We start from the raw sequence: 19291 nt of genomic DNA, 5'->3' as shown, positions 1-19291 counted from the left end.
GGGATTACAGGCATGAGCTATCACACCTGGCCGCAACCTTCCCTTTATTCTCCTGATCATACCAATGATCAGCCCGGTCTGTGTGTATGCCATGAATTGCAGCTCTTGCTTACCAAATAAAATGTTTTTAGAGATTTGTCTCTATATTATATTTGGCTTTGACATAACTATTCCCAAGGAATTCTATCTTTAAAAATCCATTCTTATAGAAATGAAAGCACCAATAAATGGGAATAAGTACGATAATCCACATCGCAGAATTGTTTGTAGTGGCAAAAGTTGCAACATCCTAATTGTCTATGAGTAAGGAAATGATTGAATAAATTACTGTACATCTATACTAAAGTTAAATTTGTAAGTACTGAAGTACAGGCACGGCTATTTTTTTTTTCTTTTTGTGGAAACAGGGTCTCACTCTGTCACCCAGGCTGGAGTGCAGCGGCACCATCTTGGGTCACTGCAACCTCTGCCTCCTGAGTTCAAGTGATCCTCACACCTCAGCCTCCCAAGTAGCTGGGACTACAGGCACGTGCCACCACACCTGGCTAATTTTGGTTTTTGGCTTCTTTCTTAATTGGTATGTTTACTTAAAAATATAGACTAATGGGCTGGGCATGGTGACTTACACCTATAATCCCAGCACTTTGGGAGGCCAAGGCGGGTGGATCATGAGGTCAGGAGATCGAGACCATCCTGGCTAAAACAGTGAAACCCCATCTCTACTAAAAGTACAAAAAATTAGCCGGGTGTGGTGGTGGGCACCTGTAGTCCCAGCTACTCGGGAGGCTGAGGCAGGAGAATGGCGTGAACCTGGGAAGCAGAGCTTGCAGTGAGCCGAGATTGTGCCACTGCACTCCAGCCTGGGCGACAGAGCAAGACTCCATCTCAAAAATAAATAAATAAATAAATAAAATAATAAAATAAAATATAGACTAATGATCCTGTGCTTCAATGTCATTGTGGTTATGTGCTGATGTCCATAAAACATAAGTTATAAGGGACTCTTCACAAATACACTCCAGACAGAAGGGTAAACAGAAATGACTGACAAGACAGTGCCATTTCAGACATACTTCCCTTAATTATTAATACTTGCTAGAAAATGGAGTTTGACATTATTTACAATTATACCAATATTCACAGAGGCCAACTGTCACAGGCATTAAGGGCACACCAGGGCCAGGAGACCTCATTTCAGACTTCCCAAATATTTTTATATTTTAGCTATTAAGATCAGTTACCAGAGCTCAACTTGTTCTTAACAAGCAGAATTTTTATGTCCATTCAAAGAGTCTCTTATACCTTTCTGGGCCTATTTACTTGCAGAGAACAGTAGAAACTGTAACCAGGCTCTTCATATCATGCATTCACATGTGATGTCCAATCTTCATATGCTGTCCAATTTCTTTAAGATAAATGGAGTGACTCGCAGCAGGGCCACGTAGATGAGAAAGTTCTGTATGGAGATCATATCCTCGTGCATCTTCCGTTTCATCTCCGTGAGGTCCAGCTTCCGGGCAAGGCCCCCAATCCGGAAGATCAGCTGCCTCGCTCTGCTCTCCCTAATGGCCCCCTTACACCCGGAACTCGGCCTATCCCCTCGCCCCAGCTAATTTTTGTATTTTTAGTAGAAATGGGGTTTCGCCATGTTGCCCAGGCTGGTCTTGAACTCCTGGGCACAAGGGATCTACCCGCCTTGGTCTCCCAAAGTGCTCAGATTACAGGCATGAGCCACCACGCCTGGCCCAACATGGCTATTATTTTTTAAAGTGCTAAATTATGGCCGGGGGCTGTGACTCACGCCTGTAATCCCAGCACTTTGGGAGGCCGAGGCGGGTGAATCACGAGGTCAGGAGATGGAGACCAGCCTGGCCAACATGGTGAAACCCCATCTCTACTAAGAATACAAAAAATTAGCTGGGCGTGGTGGCAGGCGCCTGTAATCCCATCTACTCAGGAAGCTGAGGCTGGAGAATCGCTTGAACCCGGGAGGCGGAGGTTGCAGTGAGCAGAGATCACGCCACTGCAGTCCAGCCTGGGCAACAGTGCGAGACTCTGTCTCAAAAAAAAAATAAATAAATTACCTGGGTGTGGCAGCGCGTGCCTGTAATCCCAGCTACCCAGGAGGCTGAGGCAAGAGAACTGCTTGAACCCAGGAGGCAGAGGTTGCATGGAGCTGAGATGGCGCCACTGCACTCCAGTCTGGTGACAGAGTGAGACTCCATCTCAAAAAAAAAAAAAAAAAGTGCTAAGTTACATCTAAGTTTCCTATTTTTGTTTAAAAAACTCCTTGTAGTGGGTTGAATGGTGGACCCCAAAATGATACATCTGTCCATCTGATATGCGTGAATGTGACCTATTTGGGAAAACAGTTTTTGTAGATGAAATTAAGGATTTCCAAATGAGATCATCCTAGGTTAGAATGGAACCTAAATCCAACAGCAAAAGTCCTCATAAAAAGAAGGGAAGAAGACAGAAAAGAAGACCACAAAGACAAAGGCAGAGATAGGAGTTATGCTGCCATAAGCCAAGTAATACCTGGAGCCACCAGCAGCTGGAAGAGGAAAGCAAGGATTCTCCCTTGGAGCCTTCAGAGGGAGGTGTGGCCCAGCTGACATCTTGCTCTCAGATTTCTGGCCTCCAGAACTGTGAACAGAAATATTTCTGTTGTTTTAAGCCACTAAGTTTGTGGTAATTTGTTACAGCAGCTCTCAGAATCAAATACATTCCCACACCCCTTATTTATGTGTATGTGTGTGTATGCATGTTTGCATGAGCACTGAGAGAAGTATACCATTATTAACATTGGTTAGTTCAGGGGAATGGGACTGGCTTACTGAAGGCTGAGAGAGTATACGTGTGTGTATATAAATTGAGTGTATTTAAATTAAGTATATGGAAGTAAATTAAGACTACAATGAGATACCACTACCTCCCACCAATATGGTTAAAGATAAAAGGACTGATAATACCTAATGCTGGTATGGAGCAATGGAACCTTCCTTTATTGCTGGTGGTAAAATGGTATGGTCATTAAAAACAAACTAAAACAAAAACAACAAAAATGCAATTGTTTGATGGTACCTACTAAAAAATGTGTGTATGTGTGTGTATAGACACACACCCTATGACCCAGCAATTCCATTCCTGGCATATACTCAGTAGATAGCGTGTTTAAGACCATCATAAGATATATAAAAATGTTACGGTAGCATTATTCATAACAGCCCCAAAGTGGGAGCAATTCAAAGGTCCATGAAATGTAGAGTAACTAAATTATGGTATATTCATATAACAGAATGCTACACAACAGTGAAAAAGGCTGAACTGCTGCATAGCAGCAAAATAGAGAATTCTTTTAGACGTAACGTTGAGCAAATCAAGCTAGGCTCACTACAGCACATACCGTGTGATCCCATTTACAAAAAATTCAAAAACAGGCAAAACTAATCTATGGTGATAATCAGATGGGAGGCATTATCTAAGAGGGTGCTGGAAATGTCCTTTATTGTGATCTGAACATAGTATTCATATACGAGTCATTGAAATATACATTTCAAATGCTGGCTGTTTATTATCATTTCACTGGGATAAATGCCCAAGGAGTTAGTTTTCAAAGAGATGCTATTTAGAATTTATGGAAATTTAGAACTTACTGTATTTTCCCAGATTTTCTATAATGAGCAAGCATTGCAGTTTGAGGGTTTGAAAGATTGGTAGAGACAAAAACTGCATAAGCTGCATGATTATTTCTCACACTTCAGATGCTTACCACCTTTATGATTTGCCATATCATGTATTTTAAAAAATACATTTTTTTCTTTTTTTAGATGGAGTCTCATTCTGTCACCCAGGCTGCAGTGCAGTGGTGTGATCTCAGCTCACTGCAACCTCCTGGGTTCAAGTGACTCTCCGGCCTCTGCCTCCCGAGTAGCTGAGATTACAGGCACCCATCACAATACCTGGCAAATTTTTGTATTTAAAAATACAGCCAGGCTCGGTGGCTCACGCCTGTAATCCCAGCACTTTGGGAGGCCAAGGCTGGCGGATCACCTGAGGTCAGGAGTTCGAGACCAGCCTGACCAACATGGTGAAACCCCGTCTCTACTTAAAATACAGAATTAGCTGGGCGTGGTGGCTCATGTCTGTAATCCCAGCACTTTGGGAGGCCAAGGTGGGTAGATTGCCTGAGGTCAGTTCGAGACCAGCCTGACCAATATGGTGAAACCTCATCTCTACTAAAAATACAAAAATTAGCTGGGCATGGTGGTATGCTCCTGTAGTCCCAGCTACTCAGGAGGCTGAGGTGGGAGAATTGTTTGAATTCGGGAGGTGGATGTTGCAGTGAGCTGAGATCGCGCCACTGCACTCCAGCCGGGCGACAGAGCGACACTCCGTCTCAAAAAAACAAAAACATACAATTTTAAAAATTTAGTCTTAGCTTTTCAATAAGAGGGATTAAAATATATTATTTTAGTCTGCTCAGCATCCATTCTCCCTTCCTTTTGGCAAAGAACCCTAAATTTTTTGGGGGATGATATAGTTTGGCTGTGTCCCCAACCCAAATCTCATCCTGAATTGTAGCTCCTATAATTCCCATGTGTCATGGGAGGGACCTGGTGGGAGGTAATTGAATCATGGGGGTGGTTACCTTCATGCTGTTCTCATGATAGTGAGTGAGTTCTCAGGAGATCTGATGGTTTCATAAGGGGCTTTTCCCCTTTTGCTTTGCACTTCTCCTTCCTGCCATCATGTGAAGAAGGATGTATTTGCTTCCCCTTCTGCCATGATTGTAAGCTTCCTGAGGCCTCCCCAGCCATACACAACTGTGAGTCAATTAAACCTCTTTCCTTTATAAATTATCCAGTCTCGAGTATGTCTTTATTATCAGCATGAGAACGGACTAATACAGGGGACCACCTACTCCTTACTAGAGTTGGTTTTACCATCAACTTGCCCTCCTCTTGCTGAGGGATGGGTACCTAACCCATGTAACTTCAGTTGGAGGCACTCCAAGTGACATAAAAACTAAATATACATGTCAGAAGTTCAACCTGATATCAGCACTGTAAGAAAAAAAAACAAAAACAAACACCTCATAACACCTACTCTTAAGATACCTGAAACTGTTACAATTCTTGACCTTTCCAAAGCCTTGAGTCCTCAACTTTTCCATGACTCTGGAGTCTCTCATTCTTTCAAATAAGATTTTTATCAGTAAGTTCATTAATCTGATCCTGTTGCTTGCAACCAAAAATTCCAATATATCATGAAATCAGGTTAGATGTGGTTATATTACTTCAAGTATATACTAACCCATTTCCCGTTTGCCCCAAGAATACTCTTGCCTCTAATCCTAATGTAACATTATATACATTTCCATTATATTAGGATTAGAGACAAGTTCTGTTTAGAAATAACTCTAAGAACAGTTTGTGTATTTTCACATTGAAAATTAATTTGCGTCAACCTCAGAGTGTGTTTATGTAAAATTAAATGAGCGCTGGCAGCCAGCTGCACTTTTTTTTTCTTTTTTTCTTTTTTTTTTTTTGAGACGGAGTCTCACTCTGTCGCCCAGGCTGGAGTGCATGGAGTGCAGTGGCATGATCTCGGCTCACTGCAAGCTCCGCCTCTCGGGTCTATGCCTTTCTCCTGCCTCAGCCTCCCGAGTAGCTGGGACTACAGGCGCCTGCCACCATGCCCGGCTAATGTTTTGTATTTTTAGTAGAGACGGGGTTTCACCATGTTAGCCAGGACGGTCTCGATCTCCTGACCTCGTGATCCACCCACCTCGGCCTCCCAAAGTGCTAGGATTACAGGCGTGAGCCACGGCGCCTGGCCACTTTTATTTTCTAAACAGGAAATGGGTTAAATACGTAACTCTGTATGAAATATCCATTCATAAGCTACCCTAACAGCCCCCTTGAGTGGTATAAGGCTACAGTCTTTGACCAAAAAAAAAAGTATTTGACAAAAACTTATGTCATGTGATATATGTTCATAAAAGGCAAGTATTTAATAGGATTATGTCAATTATAGCCAGGCTGGTAGGTAAATTTCTTTTAAATACCAAGGCTCAGCCAGACTGCTGCAAGGAAGTGTTCCAGAACTTATGTACCAGCAAGCAGTCTTGTCCAAGTGGTAAAACAGCAAGAGTAGTATGTGGAATGGAAATTCGGTTTGTATGTTTTTTTTTTTGTTTTTTTTTTGAGACAGAGTCTTGTTCTGTTGCTCAGGCTAGAGTGCAGTGGTGCAGTCTCGGCTCACTGCAACCTTTGCCTCCCAGAGTCAAGAAATTCTCTTGCCTCAGCCTCCCAAGTAGTTGGGATTACAGGCGCCCACCACCACGCTTGGCTAATTTTTGTATTTTTAGTAGAGACGGGGTTTCACCATGTTGGCCAGGCTGGTCTTGAACTCCTGACCTCAGGTGATCTGCCCACCTCAGCCTCAGCCTCCCAAAGTGCTGGATTATAGGCATGAGCCACCATGCCCGGCCTTGTTTTTTATTTATTTATTTCTTTGAGATGAAGTCTTGCTCTGTCACCCAGACTGGAGTGCAGTGGTGCAATCTCGGCTCACTGAAATCTCCACCTCCCGGGTTCAAGCGATTCTCCTGCCTCAGCCTCCCAAGTAGCTGGTATTACAGGCACACACCACCATACCTGGCTAATTTTTGTATTTTTAGTAGAGACGGGTTTCACCATATTGGCCAGGCTGGTCTTGAACTCCCGACCTCGTGATCCGCCCGCCTTGGCCTCCCAAAGTGCTAGGATTACAGGCACCTTTTTAAAATTATTATATTGAGACAGGGTGTCACTTTGTCACCCTGGCTGGAGTGCAGTGGCATGACCTTGGCTCACTGCATCCTCAACTTCCCAGACTCAAACCATCCTTCCACCTCAGTCCCCCAAGTAGCTGGGACTACAGGTGTGCACCACCACATCTGGCTAATTTTTGTGCTTTTTGAGGAGATGGGGTTTTGTCATGTTGCCCAGGCTGGTCTCAAACTCCTGGCCTCAAGCGATCCTCCCACCTCAGCCTCCCAAAGTGCTGAGATTACAAATGTGAGCTACTGCACCTGGCCGTGTATTTCTACAAAAGTTATGTTATAATCAAATTTGAAAATCTCAACTTTTCCAAGCAAATGATCCAATAGCAGGCTATTTATAAACTTTTAATGTGCATTAGTTACTGCTATGTAAAAGTTTTTTTGTTTTTAAGAAGTGAAGGTGTGAAAAAAACAAACCTGTAGTAAGTTTCATGTCTTTTGGAAATTTATAGGGAAGTACATTTGAGCATACACATTGTCATTCTCCTTTTCTCAGTGACAGTTTTATGACTTGGCCATCTCTAAAGATAATATATTCCAATATGTAATTGCTATATAGCAAATACATTAGCTGATGAAGTTGTAGGAGGCAATGTAATAAATGTTCTTACTCAGCTTTGGTCTAACAGATAACTATGACTGACAATTTCGTAAAAATAACAGACCAAGTGTTTTTGAGAGAGAGAGAGAGAGAGAGAGAGAGAGAGAGAGTGTGTGTGTGTGTGTGTGTGTGTGTGTGTGTGTGTATGTTTTGAGACAGGGTCCCACTCTTATCACCCAGGGTGGAGGGCAGTGGTGCAATCTCGGCTCACTGCAGCCTTGACCTTCTGGGTTCAGGTGATCCTCCCACTTTAGCCTCCCAAGTAGCTGGGACTACAGGCGTGCACCACCACACCCACCTAATTTTTTTTTTTTTGGTAGAGATGAGGTTTTTCTGTGTTGCCCAGGCTGGTCTCAAACTCCTGAGCTCAAATGACCCACCTGCCTCGGCCTCCCAAAATGCTGGGATTACAGGCGTGAGCTATTGTGCCCAGCCTATATAAAAATTTTTTAAGTTTTTGGAAAATGTCAGAAATCAACGTTTCCTTTTAGCCCTATTTTCAAAAACTGGCTAGTTTGATAAATGGATCACAATTTCTTACACATGCTACTAATAGAAGAGGCATTCAAAAATAAATGACTGATGGCCAGCGAGTGGATAACTTGAGATCAGGAGTTCGAGACCAGCCTAGCCAAGATGGTGAAACCCCATCCCTACTAAAACTACAAAAAATTAGCCAGGCACGGAAGTGGAGGTTGCAGTGAGCGGAGATCGCACCATTGCACTCCAGCCTGGATGACAAAGCGAGACTCTGTTTAAAAAAAAAAAAAAAGTAACTGATAAAACTGACCACAGTGTATCTTGGGCAGTAATGGCTGCTGCTTCTCATTTTCAGCAGGACTTAATGAAAATTGCTAATGATAACGCACTACCTCCTAAGAATGATGCAAAATACGATTTTTGATGTTTAAAGGGAGGGTTCCATGGAGTTTGGTATTTTCCAAATTATATTCTAAATCTGGTACTATCTCACCTAATAATTTTATCTTTCTTTAGCAACAAGCCCTAACAATATCCAAACTAAATAAAATCATTACATGAATTTACTTTTTACAATCATTCTCCTAAGGCTGGGCGTGGTGGCTCATGCCTGTAATCCCAGCACTTTGGGAGGCCGAGGTGGGCGGATCACCTGAGGTCAGAAGTTCGAGACCAGCCTGACCAACATGGAGAAACCCCGTCTCTACTAAAAACACAAAATTAGTCGGGCGTGGTGGCTCATGCCTGTAATCCTAGCTACTCGGGAGGCTGAGGTGGGAGAACCCGGGAGGCAGAGGTTGCGGTGAGCCAGTATCACGCCACTGCACTCCAGTCTGGGCAACAAGAGCGAAACTCCGTCTCAAAAAAAAAAAAAAATAATAATAATAATAATAATTAAAATTATTCTCCAGGGATGGGCATGGTGGCTCATATCTGTAATCCCAGCACTTTGGGAGGCCGAAGCAGGCAGATCATTTGAGATCAGGAGTTTGAGACCAGGTTGGCTAACATGGTGAAACCCTGTCTCTACTAAAAATACAAAAAAACTAGCTGGGTGTGGTAGTGCACGCCTGTAATCCCAGCTACTTGGGAGGCTGAGGCAGGAGAATTGCTTGAACCCGGGATGCAGAGGTTGCAGTCAGCCGAGATTGTGCCACTGTACTCCAGCCTCAGCAACAGAGCAAGCAAGACACAGTCTCAAAAAAAAAAAAAAAAAAAAAAAAAAAAAAGCTATTCACCTGTATTTTCCCTTAGTATCCTATAATTGACCTGTTTCCCTCTTTATAAGTTCAGCTACTTTTAGTTACCTTAACTATACCACATGGTGGTGTCATGATTGGTGTCAATGTATTGCATATATATATATATTACAATATACCACATGATAGGTGTCAATATACTCCAACAATTAGACTTAATTTTCTTCCTCTCCGATAATTTTTCCGCCTGCTTTGAGGAAACATCTGGTCATATTGCAGTTAAAAATCAAACCTCTTAACAATAAATTTATTTAATTAAATGCCATAAAAATTAATCAAGAATGGCCAGGCATGGTGGCTCACGCCTGTAATCCCAGCACTTTGGGCAGAGGTGGAAGGTGGCTCACTTGAGCTCAGGAGTTGGAGACCAGCCTGGGCAACATGGCAAAACCCCTATCTCTACCAAAAATATAAAAATCAGCCTGACGTGGTGGCATGCGCCTGTAGTCCCAACTGCTTGGGAGACGAGACTGAGGCAGGAGGATCACTTGAGCCCAGGAGGTTGAGGCTGCAGTGAGCCACGTTCGTGCCACTGCACTCAGCCGGGGTGACAAGGCGAGATCCTGCCTCAAAAAAAAAAAAAAAAAAGTACTAATGATTGATTACAAACTAGAGATCTTCCTTATTCTAATATCCATTTTATTTTGGAAACGTAGCTTTCCCTCGATTTATAAGAATTAAAAGGTCTAAAGTTCTTCCATTCCACAGGATAAACTAAAGAAATTATTCATTTAAAAAAAAAGGCAAAGAAAAGAGCTTAAAGCATGAAAAGTTTTTTTGTACTTATGGCTTATTAGTCTGTGTAGAAATTCTGGAGACAGAATTACAGAAACCAGGCCCACAAAGAATCTTTGTGGTACAATCAGATTTCTTTATTATTTCTTTTATTAGAATGTAACTTAAGCTACTTAATTTTTGCCTTTGTGACTACCATCATAGAATATTCTGAAGACTAAAGTTAACCAAAGATCCAGAACAATGTTTTAATTTAATGAAAAATCTAGGCTAATATGAAGATAGAAACTCAGGCTAAAAAACTGCAGCCGGGTGGGATGGCTCACGCCTGTAATCCCAGCTCTATGGGAGGCCAAGAAGGGTGGATCACCTGAGGTTAGTAGTTTGAGACCAGCCTGGCCAAAATGGTGAAACCCCATCTCTTCTAAAAACACAAAAATTAGCCGGGCGTGGTGGCGGGCGCCTGTAGTCCCAGCTCCTCAGGAGGCTGAGGCAGGAGAATCGCTTGAACTCAGGTGGCGGAGGTTGCAGTGAACCGAGATGGCACTGCTGCGCTCTAGCCTGGGCGAGAGAGCAAGACTCTGTCTCAAAAAAAAAAAAAACACCCCACAAAAACCCAAAAAACTTCCTGGTTGTCGAATTCAGTATTAGACACAAAAAATTCTAGCCTATTTATGGGTGGTACCACTGGTAAGAGACAAATCACAAGATATTGTGTTAGGCTAACTTCAAGATCTGTCCATTCAGATAGTGGTTGACATATTGGGTGATCAGAAAAATTTGTTAAATTGCATTATGTGAAAAATCAAGTATTTGTAGAATACTTTAAGTTATTCTATTTACTACTACAATGGCATTTTTATTCTCTCTGACATAGTTTTGTGTTTACTTCAGAGTGCAGCAAGGTCTCAAACCTTAATTTCTCTAGGTTACATATTTCCAAATTTATAACTACCATCAAGACTCAAGTTTTAGAAGAGGCTGAGAACAGAAAATATGGTACTCATTCCAAAAAATGTTAAAGCTATAAGTAGAACTGAGACCTCAGTTTACATCCACTTAGTTTCTATTCCAGTGGTTTGAAGTATCTGTTGTAAATTGTTCAAGCAAGCTTTGTAAGTTGATTTTTTTTTTTTTTTGAGGCAGAGTCTTGCTTTGTTGCCCAGGCTGGAGTGCAGTGGTGCAATATCTGCTGACTGCAACCTCTGCCTTGGGTTCAAGCGATTTTCCTGCCTCAGCCTCCCGAGTAGCTGAGATTACAGGCATGTGCCACCACACACCTGGCTATTTTTTTTTTTTTTTTTTTTTTGTATTTTTAGTAAAGATGAGGTTTCATCATGTTGGTCAGGCTGGTCTCAAACTCCTGACCTCAAGTGATCCGCCCGCCTCGGCCTCCCAAAGTGCTGGGATTGTGGGCATAAGCCACCGCACCTGGCCCTTTAACTTGATTTCAAAGCAAAATTATACAAATGGACCCTAACTTCTATTATATATTTAAGTTTACTTCAAAGATCTATTTTATCCTTATCCTTAGAAACTGTGAGGAAAAAAAAACTATGTTAACAAAGCTGATGACAAAGATTCTTTATTATATAAGAGATCCTATTATCTGATCATATTACCTAATAAATTATATATGAATGTTCAATAATAAAAATAATGTTCACCAATATGTCACATGCATGGTTAGTGTTTTATTCTTTGAAGACTGCTTCTAAAACATCGCACTAAGTAAAGCTGAAAGGATAAAGTTTAAAATAGTTTTTAAAGGATAAGTTATAACATATGTAATGACTGTCCACTCTACAAAATCTTGATCTTAGAGCTTATGATACACCCAGTTGGCAGTAGCACCCAGGTTTTCCAAATAGCCAGTCATCACTTTTCTCTTGTCTGCATAGACTTCTTCTCATTAGCTGCCTTCTGCTTTTCTTGCATGATCTCAGAGTCCCTACAATGAGGGAAAAGTCTATAAGTTGTTACAGAAAAACCAATTATATATTCTCACTTGGTTTCTACACATAACCCATTCAGTGTATTAGAAGACAATTTAAAAGAGGATATAAACTTTTTTGTCTTTCCATTTTCATGGCTGGAGACAAAATGGAAAGACAGACTGGAAAGGCTTTGAAGTCAGATCTTATTCTGAATACCATCTCTGTTATCATGACCTTGGGCAAATAACCTCAAAGCCCTTTCAAAATCCGGGCAATATGTATCAAGGTTGTTACAAGGAATCACTATGAATATATAAAAGTGTGTGACATTAGGCAGCTACATGTAGAAATAATAGCTATTACTCTTGGTTGTTAACTAGTTAATTCATTCTAATTTTTTTCCTTGAAAGAAGAGGCATTTAAGAACTCTCCTAGGTATCCTAACTGGTATCTACGACTAGAACATAGATATTATGAAGGATTTCAGTTTCTTACAAGCAAAAAAGCCCAAAAGCTAGTCACTAAAACTGGATTACAATAAAGAAAAGCTGGATGTTCAGGGTACTTTTTTTTTTTTTTGAGACGGAGTCTCGCTTTGTCCCCCAGGCTGGAGTGCGGTGGAACGATCTTGGCTCACTGCAACCTCCACTTCCTGCTTGCAGTTCTTCTGCCTCAGCCTCCTGAGTAGCTGGGACTACAGGCATGCGCCACCACACCCGACTAATTTTTGCATTTTAAGTAGAGACGAGGTTTCACCATATTGGCCAGGCTGGTCTCGAACTCCTGACCTTGTGATCCGCCTGCCTCAGTCTCCCAAAGTGCTGGGATTACAGGTGTGAGCCACTGCGCCCAGCCCTTAACCCTTCTCATCTCCAGTCAAACTGACACATGCCATATAAACTGTGAACTATGACCAGACTACCTGGGTTAGGTGATTCATGAGTCCATGGACCCATATTTTAAAAACAGACTAAACGGCCATGCATTCAACATCTACTGTGTGTCAAGCACTCTACCAGCTCTGGTTAAAGTCCCACAACTCTGACTTATTAACCTCATGTTTCAAACTTTTTAATTTTTTATTTATTTTTTTGAGACAGAGTCTTGCTCTGTTGCCCAGGCTGCAGTGCAGTGGCACAATCTTTGCTCACTGCAACCTCCACCTCCCTGGTTCAAGCGAGTCTCCTGCCTCAGTTTCCCAAGTAGCTGGGATTACAGGCATGTGCAACCAAGCCCACCTAATTTTTGTATTTTTAGTAGAGACAGGGTTTCACCATGTTGGCCAGGCTTGTCTCGAACTCCTGGCCTCAAGTTGATCCGCTCGCCTCGGCCTCCCAAAGTGCTGGATTTACAAGTGTAAGCCACTGAGCCTGGCCTGTTTTAACTTTTTGAGGAAATGCTAAACTGATTTCCACAGCCATGATGGTAAGATATTTCTGTAAAGCCAATAGCAAAAACAAGGGAATAGAAGAAAGGCAAAATAGGCCAGTGGCTCACATCTGTAACCCCAGCACTTTGGGAGGCTGAGATAGGCGGACCACCTGAGGTCGAGAGTTTGAGACCAGACTGAGCAACATGGAGAAACCCTATCTCTACTAAAAATACAAAATTAGCCAGGCATGGTGGTGCATGCCTGTAATCCCAGCTACTTGGGAGGCTGAGGCAGGAGAATCACTTGCACCCGAGAGGTGGAGGTTGCGGTGAGCTGAGATTGCGCCATTGTACTCCGCCTGGGCAACAAGAGCGAAACTCCGTCTCAAAAACATAAAATAAAATAAAATAAAAATAAAGAAGAAAGGCAAAATAACACAGCTACAGGCTGTTCTGCCTATAAAGTAGCCAATATTTATTTCTTTACTTTCCTAATAAACTTGCTTTCACTAAAACAAAAACAAAAACATAGCTATAAAGAAATGAAGTACAGTGGAAAAAGAACCATGACAGTTACTTCTCTATTTGAAACCAAGCTCTGTTGTGCTTGCTGTGTAACTTTAGTAATGTTACTGAAGTTCAGAGCCTCAGTTTCCTATTCTACAGATTAGTGCTAATACCATTTTTCAGAGTTATGATGAATAAAGAATAATGTATATAGAATGTCTAGCATAGAATTTTATAAGGAGTGCATATCTGGTAAACAATGACAATTTCTGAACCAAGCTAGACTAGGTTCTCCAATAAAAATACTATTGCAGGGTCACTGATTCATACCATGTTCATTTTTACTCTAATGTGAGTCAACAGAAATTGAAGACAAAGCTTATCACTTTAATAATAAATGTTAGGGCCGGGCATAGTGGCTCACACCTGTAATTCCAGCACTTTGGGGGACTGAGGTGGGCAAATCACTTGACCCCAGAAGTTCAAGACCTGCCTGGACAACATGATGAAACCCCGTTTCTACAAAAAATATAAAAACTATCTGGGCTTGGTGGTGTGCCCTTGTAGTCCCAGCTACTCAGAAGGCTGAGGTGGGAGGGTCACTTGAGCCTGGGAGGCAGAGCTTGCAGTGAACCGAGACTGTGGCACTGCACTCCAGTCTGGGTCACAGAGTAAGACGCCATATCTGGGAAAAAAAAAAAAAAGGTGTCAGGACCTTTGCCTTAAATTAAGGTCTTTAATCTCATTTATCAATGACTCTTAATAGTGGCTGCACATTAGAATCACCTGGGAGCTGTTTTAAGTTCAGTTTAAGGTATAACTGGGTGTGCTGGGAGGCTGGGGGAGGGATAGCATCAGGAGAAATACCTAATGTAAATGATGAGTTGATGGGTGCAGCAAACCAACATGGCACATGTATATCTATGTAACAAACCTGCACGTTGTGCATATATACCCTAGAACTTAAAGCGTAATAATAAAAAAAAAATTCAAAAAAAAAAAAAAAGGTATAACTGGGCCAGCGTGGTGGCTCACGCCTGTAATCCCAGCACTTTGGGAGGCCGAGGCGGGTGGATCACTTGAGGTCAGTAGTTTGAGACCAGCCTGGCCAACACGGTGAAACCCAGTCTCTACTAAAAATACAAAAATTAGCTGGGCATGGTGGCGGACGCCTGCAATTCCAGCTACTTGGATTGCTGACGCAGGAGAATCGCTTAAGCCCAGGAGGTGGAGGTTGCAGTGAGCCGAGATCACGCCACTGCCCTCCAGCATGGGCAACAGAATAAGACTCTGCCTTTAAAAAAAAAAAAAAGGCATAACCTAAGTACAGTAAAATTTACCTAGGGTGCTTTTTAATGCTCGACCTCTGACCAATTAAATCAGAACTGGATGAAAGATAAATGTTTGAGCATAGAGATATCCCAATTACCCCGATTTGATCATTACACATTGTACACATAAAGGTTTTTTTTTTTTGACGGAGTCTCGCTCTGTCGCCCAGGCTGGAGTGCGGTGGCGCGATCTCAGCTCACTGCAAGCTCCGCCTCCCGGGTTCACGCCAGTCTCCTGCCTCAGCCTCCCGAGTAGCTGGGACTACAGGCGCCCGCCACTGCGCCCGACTAATTTTTTGTATTTTTAGTACGGACAGGGATTCACCGTGGTCTCGATCTCCTGACCTCGTGATCTTCCTGCCTTGGCCTCCCAAAGTGCTGGGATTACAGGCATGAGCCATCGCGCCCGGCCGGAGTTTCACTCTTGTTGTCCAGGCTGGAGTGCAATGGCGAGATCTCAGCTCACCGCAACCTCCGCCTCCCAGGTTCAAGTGATTCTCCTGTCTCAGCCTGCCGAGTAGCTAGGATTACAGGTGTTCGCCACCACAGTTGGCTTTTTTTTTTTTTGAGACGGAGTCTCGCTCTGTCACCCAGGCTGGAGGGCAGTGGCACGATCTCGGCTCGCTGCAAGCTCCGCCTCCCGGGTTCACGCCATTCTCCTGCCTCAGCCTCCCAAGTAGCTGGGACTACAGGCGCCTGCCACCTCGCCCGGCTAAGTTTTGTATTATTAGTAGAGACGGGGTTTCACCGTGTTAACCAGGATGGTCTCGATCTCCTGACCTCGTGATCCGCCCGCCTGGGCCTCCCAAAGTGCTGGGGTTACAGGCGTGAACCACCGCGCCCGGCCACACACTTGGCTAATTTTGTATTTTTAGTAGAGATGGGGTTTCTCCATGTTGGTCAGAATGGTCTTGAGCTCCCAACCTCAGGTAATCCACCCGCTTCGGCCTCCCAAAGTGCTGGGCTAACAGGTATGAGCCACCACGCCAAGCCAGTTTCTTTTTGTTGTTGTTTTTTTGAGACAGGGTCTCACTCTGTCACCCAGGCTGGAATGCAATGGCAGGATCTCGGCTCACTGCAACCTCCGCCTCCCAGGTTCAAGTGATTCTCCTGCCTTAGCCTCCCAAGTGGCTGGGACTACCCAGCCCACATACAGGTATTAAAAGATCACATGTACCCCCAAAATATGTACAACTATTGTAATTCAATTTTTTAAAAAAACAAAAAATCAAAACTGAGCATAACGCAAGGCTTGAGTAGCTGTCAAGGTTTCCCAGGTGATTCTAATGTGCAGCCAGGATTGAGAACCCCTAACAAGCCACACTGAAGCACATGCAGTCAGTTATTCGCTTAACCTCCAAGTTCCATATGGACAAAATCATTTGAGAATAAAATTAAGCTTTGATTAGCTCTTTTAGAAACATGAGTGTACTTTTTTTTACTTAAGCTGCAGTCTAAAGTATTTCTGTAGCAGTTTTACATTGGCACATATAGTCATATATTAAGGCTATGTACATGAATTCTCTCCAATGCAATGGATCTTCAGAAATCAGCACAGCTAGCTATTATGCATATACTTTTTTGTATCTTCTTGAGAACTATTATCATTATATATTAATAATTGAGTCCCTTGTCATTCAGAGTAGTTTGGGTAGGCTGTCTACTTTGAAAATGTTGTAACTCTAGCACCTCACAGTGTTTTGCATATAGAAGATGTTATTTTGCTGAATAAAGTTGTTTTTTTTTGTTTTGTTTTGTTTTTTTGATACAGAGTTTCCCGCTCAGTACCCAGGCTGGATTGCAATGGCACAATCTTCACTCGCTGCAACCTCCCCCTCCCGGTTTCAAGCGATTCTCCTGCCTCAGCCTCCCAAGTAACTGGGATTACAGGCATGTGCCACTGCACCCAGCTAATTTTGTATTTTTAGTAGAGATAGGGTTTCACTATGTTGGTCAGGCTGATCTCGATCTCCTGACCCCAGGTGATCCACCCACCTTGGCCTTCCAAAGTGCTGAGATTACAGGCGTGAGCCACCGCGCCCAGCCTATAAAAAGTTCTTATGGTTGTGGAGGAGCTGCATGAGTCTCTGTGAAACAAATAATAGCTTCAGAGCTTTACGTTTTTATCTATATGTTGGGATGTCTACCCCACGTGGTTTTAGTCCGCCTGGCACAAATCATTAGGCCCTGTTCTACCAAGGGCTTAACAAAATGCTTTCTGTTCCCCAAAATGAGGCCTTCTTTTTTTTTTTTTTTTTTTTTTTTTGAGACAGGGTCTAACTCTGCCATCCAGGCTGGAGTGCAGTGGTGCAATCGCAGCTTACTGCGGCCTTAACCTCCTGGGCTCAAGCGATTCTCCCGCCTCAGCCTCCAGAGTAGCCGAGACCACAGCCATGTGCTACCATGCCTGGCCAATTTAAAAAAATATTTTGTAGATACAGGGGCTGGCTATGTTGTCCAAGTTGGTCTCAAACTCTTGGCTTCAAGCAGTTCTCCCGACTCTCCCAAACTGCCGGGATTACAGGCATGAGGCAACACACCCAGCCCAAAATGTTGCTTCAATCACAACGTCAGTGACTTTAGAATTAAATTAGTACCACGTACCTCTGCTTTCTCTGAGAGGCAGTCAAGCTATCCTCTTTCCTCTTTCCCTTGCTAATTTCCTGGGTTTTCTTCATGTTTTTCTGGCGGGCAAGTTCTCGTTGATTTCCACCTACAAAGTCAAACAGTCATGCTCTTTTCCCATCTCCAAAATTATTAATAATTCCAATAAACAGGCCTTATTTAAATGCATCTTTAGTTTGTGTTTTCATAGATAAACTAGCAGAGTAACAGATTGATGGTGCTCCTAGATCTGACAATAAGGAAGTGGCTTAAACACTTAAAGACTTAAGAGTATTATCATACCAATCTAGGTGGTCACTAGCTATAAATACCAGATATTTTAAAACAGATATTCGAATCTTGGGCCGGTATCCCAAAATAAGTTCTGGCTTTTGAGGGGAGTGGGTGGAAGAGAAAGCTAGATACAGAGATCACAAGTTCAGCCCATCATTTGAGAGTTACCTTTATCCCCATGCAGAGGCGGAGAGGGGTGGATGGAGACTGAACAGATTGAAGGTAAGTCTGCGAAAGGCAGTGTGGGCCTTTACATCCTTATTCTAGCCACAACCCTGCAAGGTAGGCTTCATTGTTTTCATTTTGCAGAACAGACTGACCTAACACCTAGGACTGGTACAAACGAACATCAAATTTAGGACCGGCTCTAAAGCCTCCTGTTTATTCGGCTACTACCTGCGAGCGCCAAACAAAAGAACTAGGGAGGCGACTCACTGGAGTTCCCGGTCCTCATTAGGCCTTAAGACTTGAGGTATCAGCTATAAAGTACCTCCAAACAAGGACCCTCCTGGGGCGGCCGTGTCCACATCTCCGGGGTGTGTTCTTTACCGCACAAACTCGCACCTGAGGGGCAGGCACCCGTCCGGCCTGAAAAGCCGGACCGGAACCACCCGCGAGCTCTCTCTCTGCCGACTGAAGCGGGGATCCCCGCACTGCGCGACCCAGGGGGATTCTCCAGCCGGACTCCGCCTCCCCCGCCCGCCGCGCCTCAGCGCTAGGCTCCCACGCCGGACGCTCGCCGCCGCTTCCCACCCCCACTCACGGGCCATGCCGACCACCAACGGAGCCTGGAAGAAGAGCAACTCGGAAAAGCAACGGTTCTCTGGCACTCTGGGATACCGTCACCACCGCTGACCGGGAAGGCTGAGCCCTCGTGGGCCCTCCGCCCGGCTGCGCCTCCCCTCTGCTCCGCCAACGGCCCCGCCCGCTGGAGGCCCGACAACAGCCGCCGGCATGGCCGGCGCGTCACTGCGCGTGCGCGGCCGGGGCTGGGCCGGGGCTCCGAAGCTCGGCCGGGGCTCCGAGCTTGTTGAATTACATTTCCCTCATGCTACATTAGCACTAATTTTAAAAGGGATATACAATATGTATATCTCTATTATGTGATAAGTTAAGCTGTTGTATTCTGAAATTTAAAAGCATTATTTTCAGTGAAAAAAACCACACAAATAGAAATGTGTACAAAAAACTCACTGAATGATATTTCTTTAATAGTAAAGGCACAATATGTCAAAACCTCCTCTGTCCTTTTTGCAACGATGTAGAACTGCAAAGTTAGCTAATGTCATCTCCTAATTAAACAAAATCAACTGTGAGAAAATTAAACTGATTGCTTCACAATT

The 19291-nt window shown here is 43.4% G+C and overlaps 2 protein-coding genes across 3 annotated transcripts; both read right to left on the bottom strand.

Annotated features, from left to right (window-relative positions):
• Positions 1–1056: 1056 nt before the first annotated feature.
• On the bottom strand, positions 1057–18919 carry SERF1B (small EDRK-rich factor 1B). 2 transcript variants are annotated; one of them, NM_022978.3, is made up of 3 exons: positions 18712–18919; positions 17655–17763; positions 1057–2646 (listed from the first exon to the last, which is right to left on the bottom strand). In NM_022978.3, the coding sequence occupies exons 1-3, from the start codon at positions 18716–18718 to the stop codon at positions 2430–2432; spliced, it is 333 nt and encodes a 110-aa protein (NP_075267.1). In that variant the 5' UTR covers positions 18719–18919; the 3' UTR covers positions 1057–2429. The 2 variants fall into 2 exon arrangements, with proteins under 2 accessions (NP_075267.1, NP_001171558.1); NM_001178087.2 differs by lacking the exon at positions 1057–2646 and adding an exon at positions 11474–11855.
• LOC107986372 (mitochondrial import receptor subunit TOM5 homolog) lies at positions 1193–1752 on the bottom strand. The gene is made up of 2 exons (XM_047418006.1): positions 1723–1752; positions 1193–1609 (listed from the first exon to the last, which is right to left on the bottom strand). The coding sequence occupies exons 1-2, from the start codon at positions 1750–1752 to the stop codon at positions 1388–1390; spliced, it is 252 nt and encodes an 83-aa protein (XP_047273962.1). The 3' UTR covers positions 1193–1387.
• Positions 18920–19291: the final 372 nt, after the last annotated feature.

The sequence above is a fragment of the Homo sapiens genome, chromosome 5 (assembly GCF_000001405.40).
Source record: "Homo sapiens chromosome 5, GRCh38.p14 Primary Assembly".
Classification (NCBI taxonomy): Eukaryota; Metazoa; Chordata; class Mammalia; order Primates; family Hominidae; genus Homo; species Homo sapiens.
This window is presented reverse-complemented; position numbering and strand designations above follow the sequence as displayed.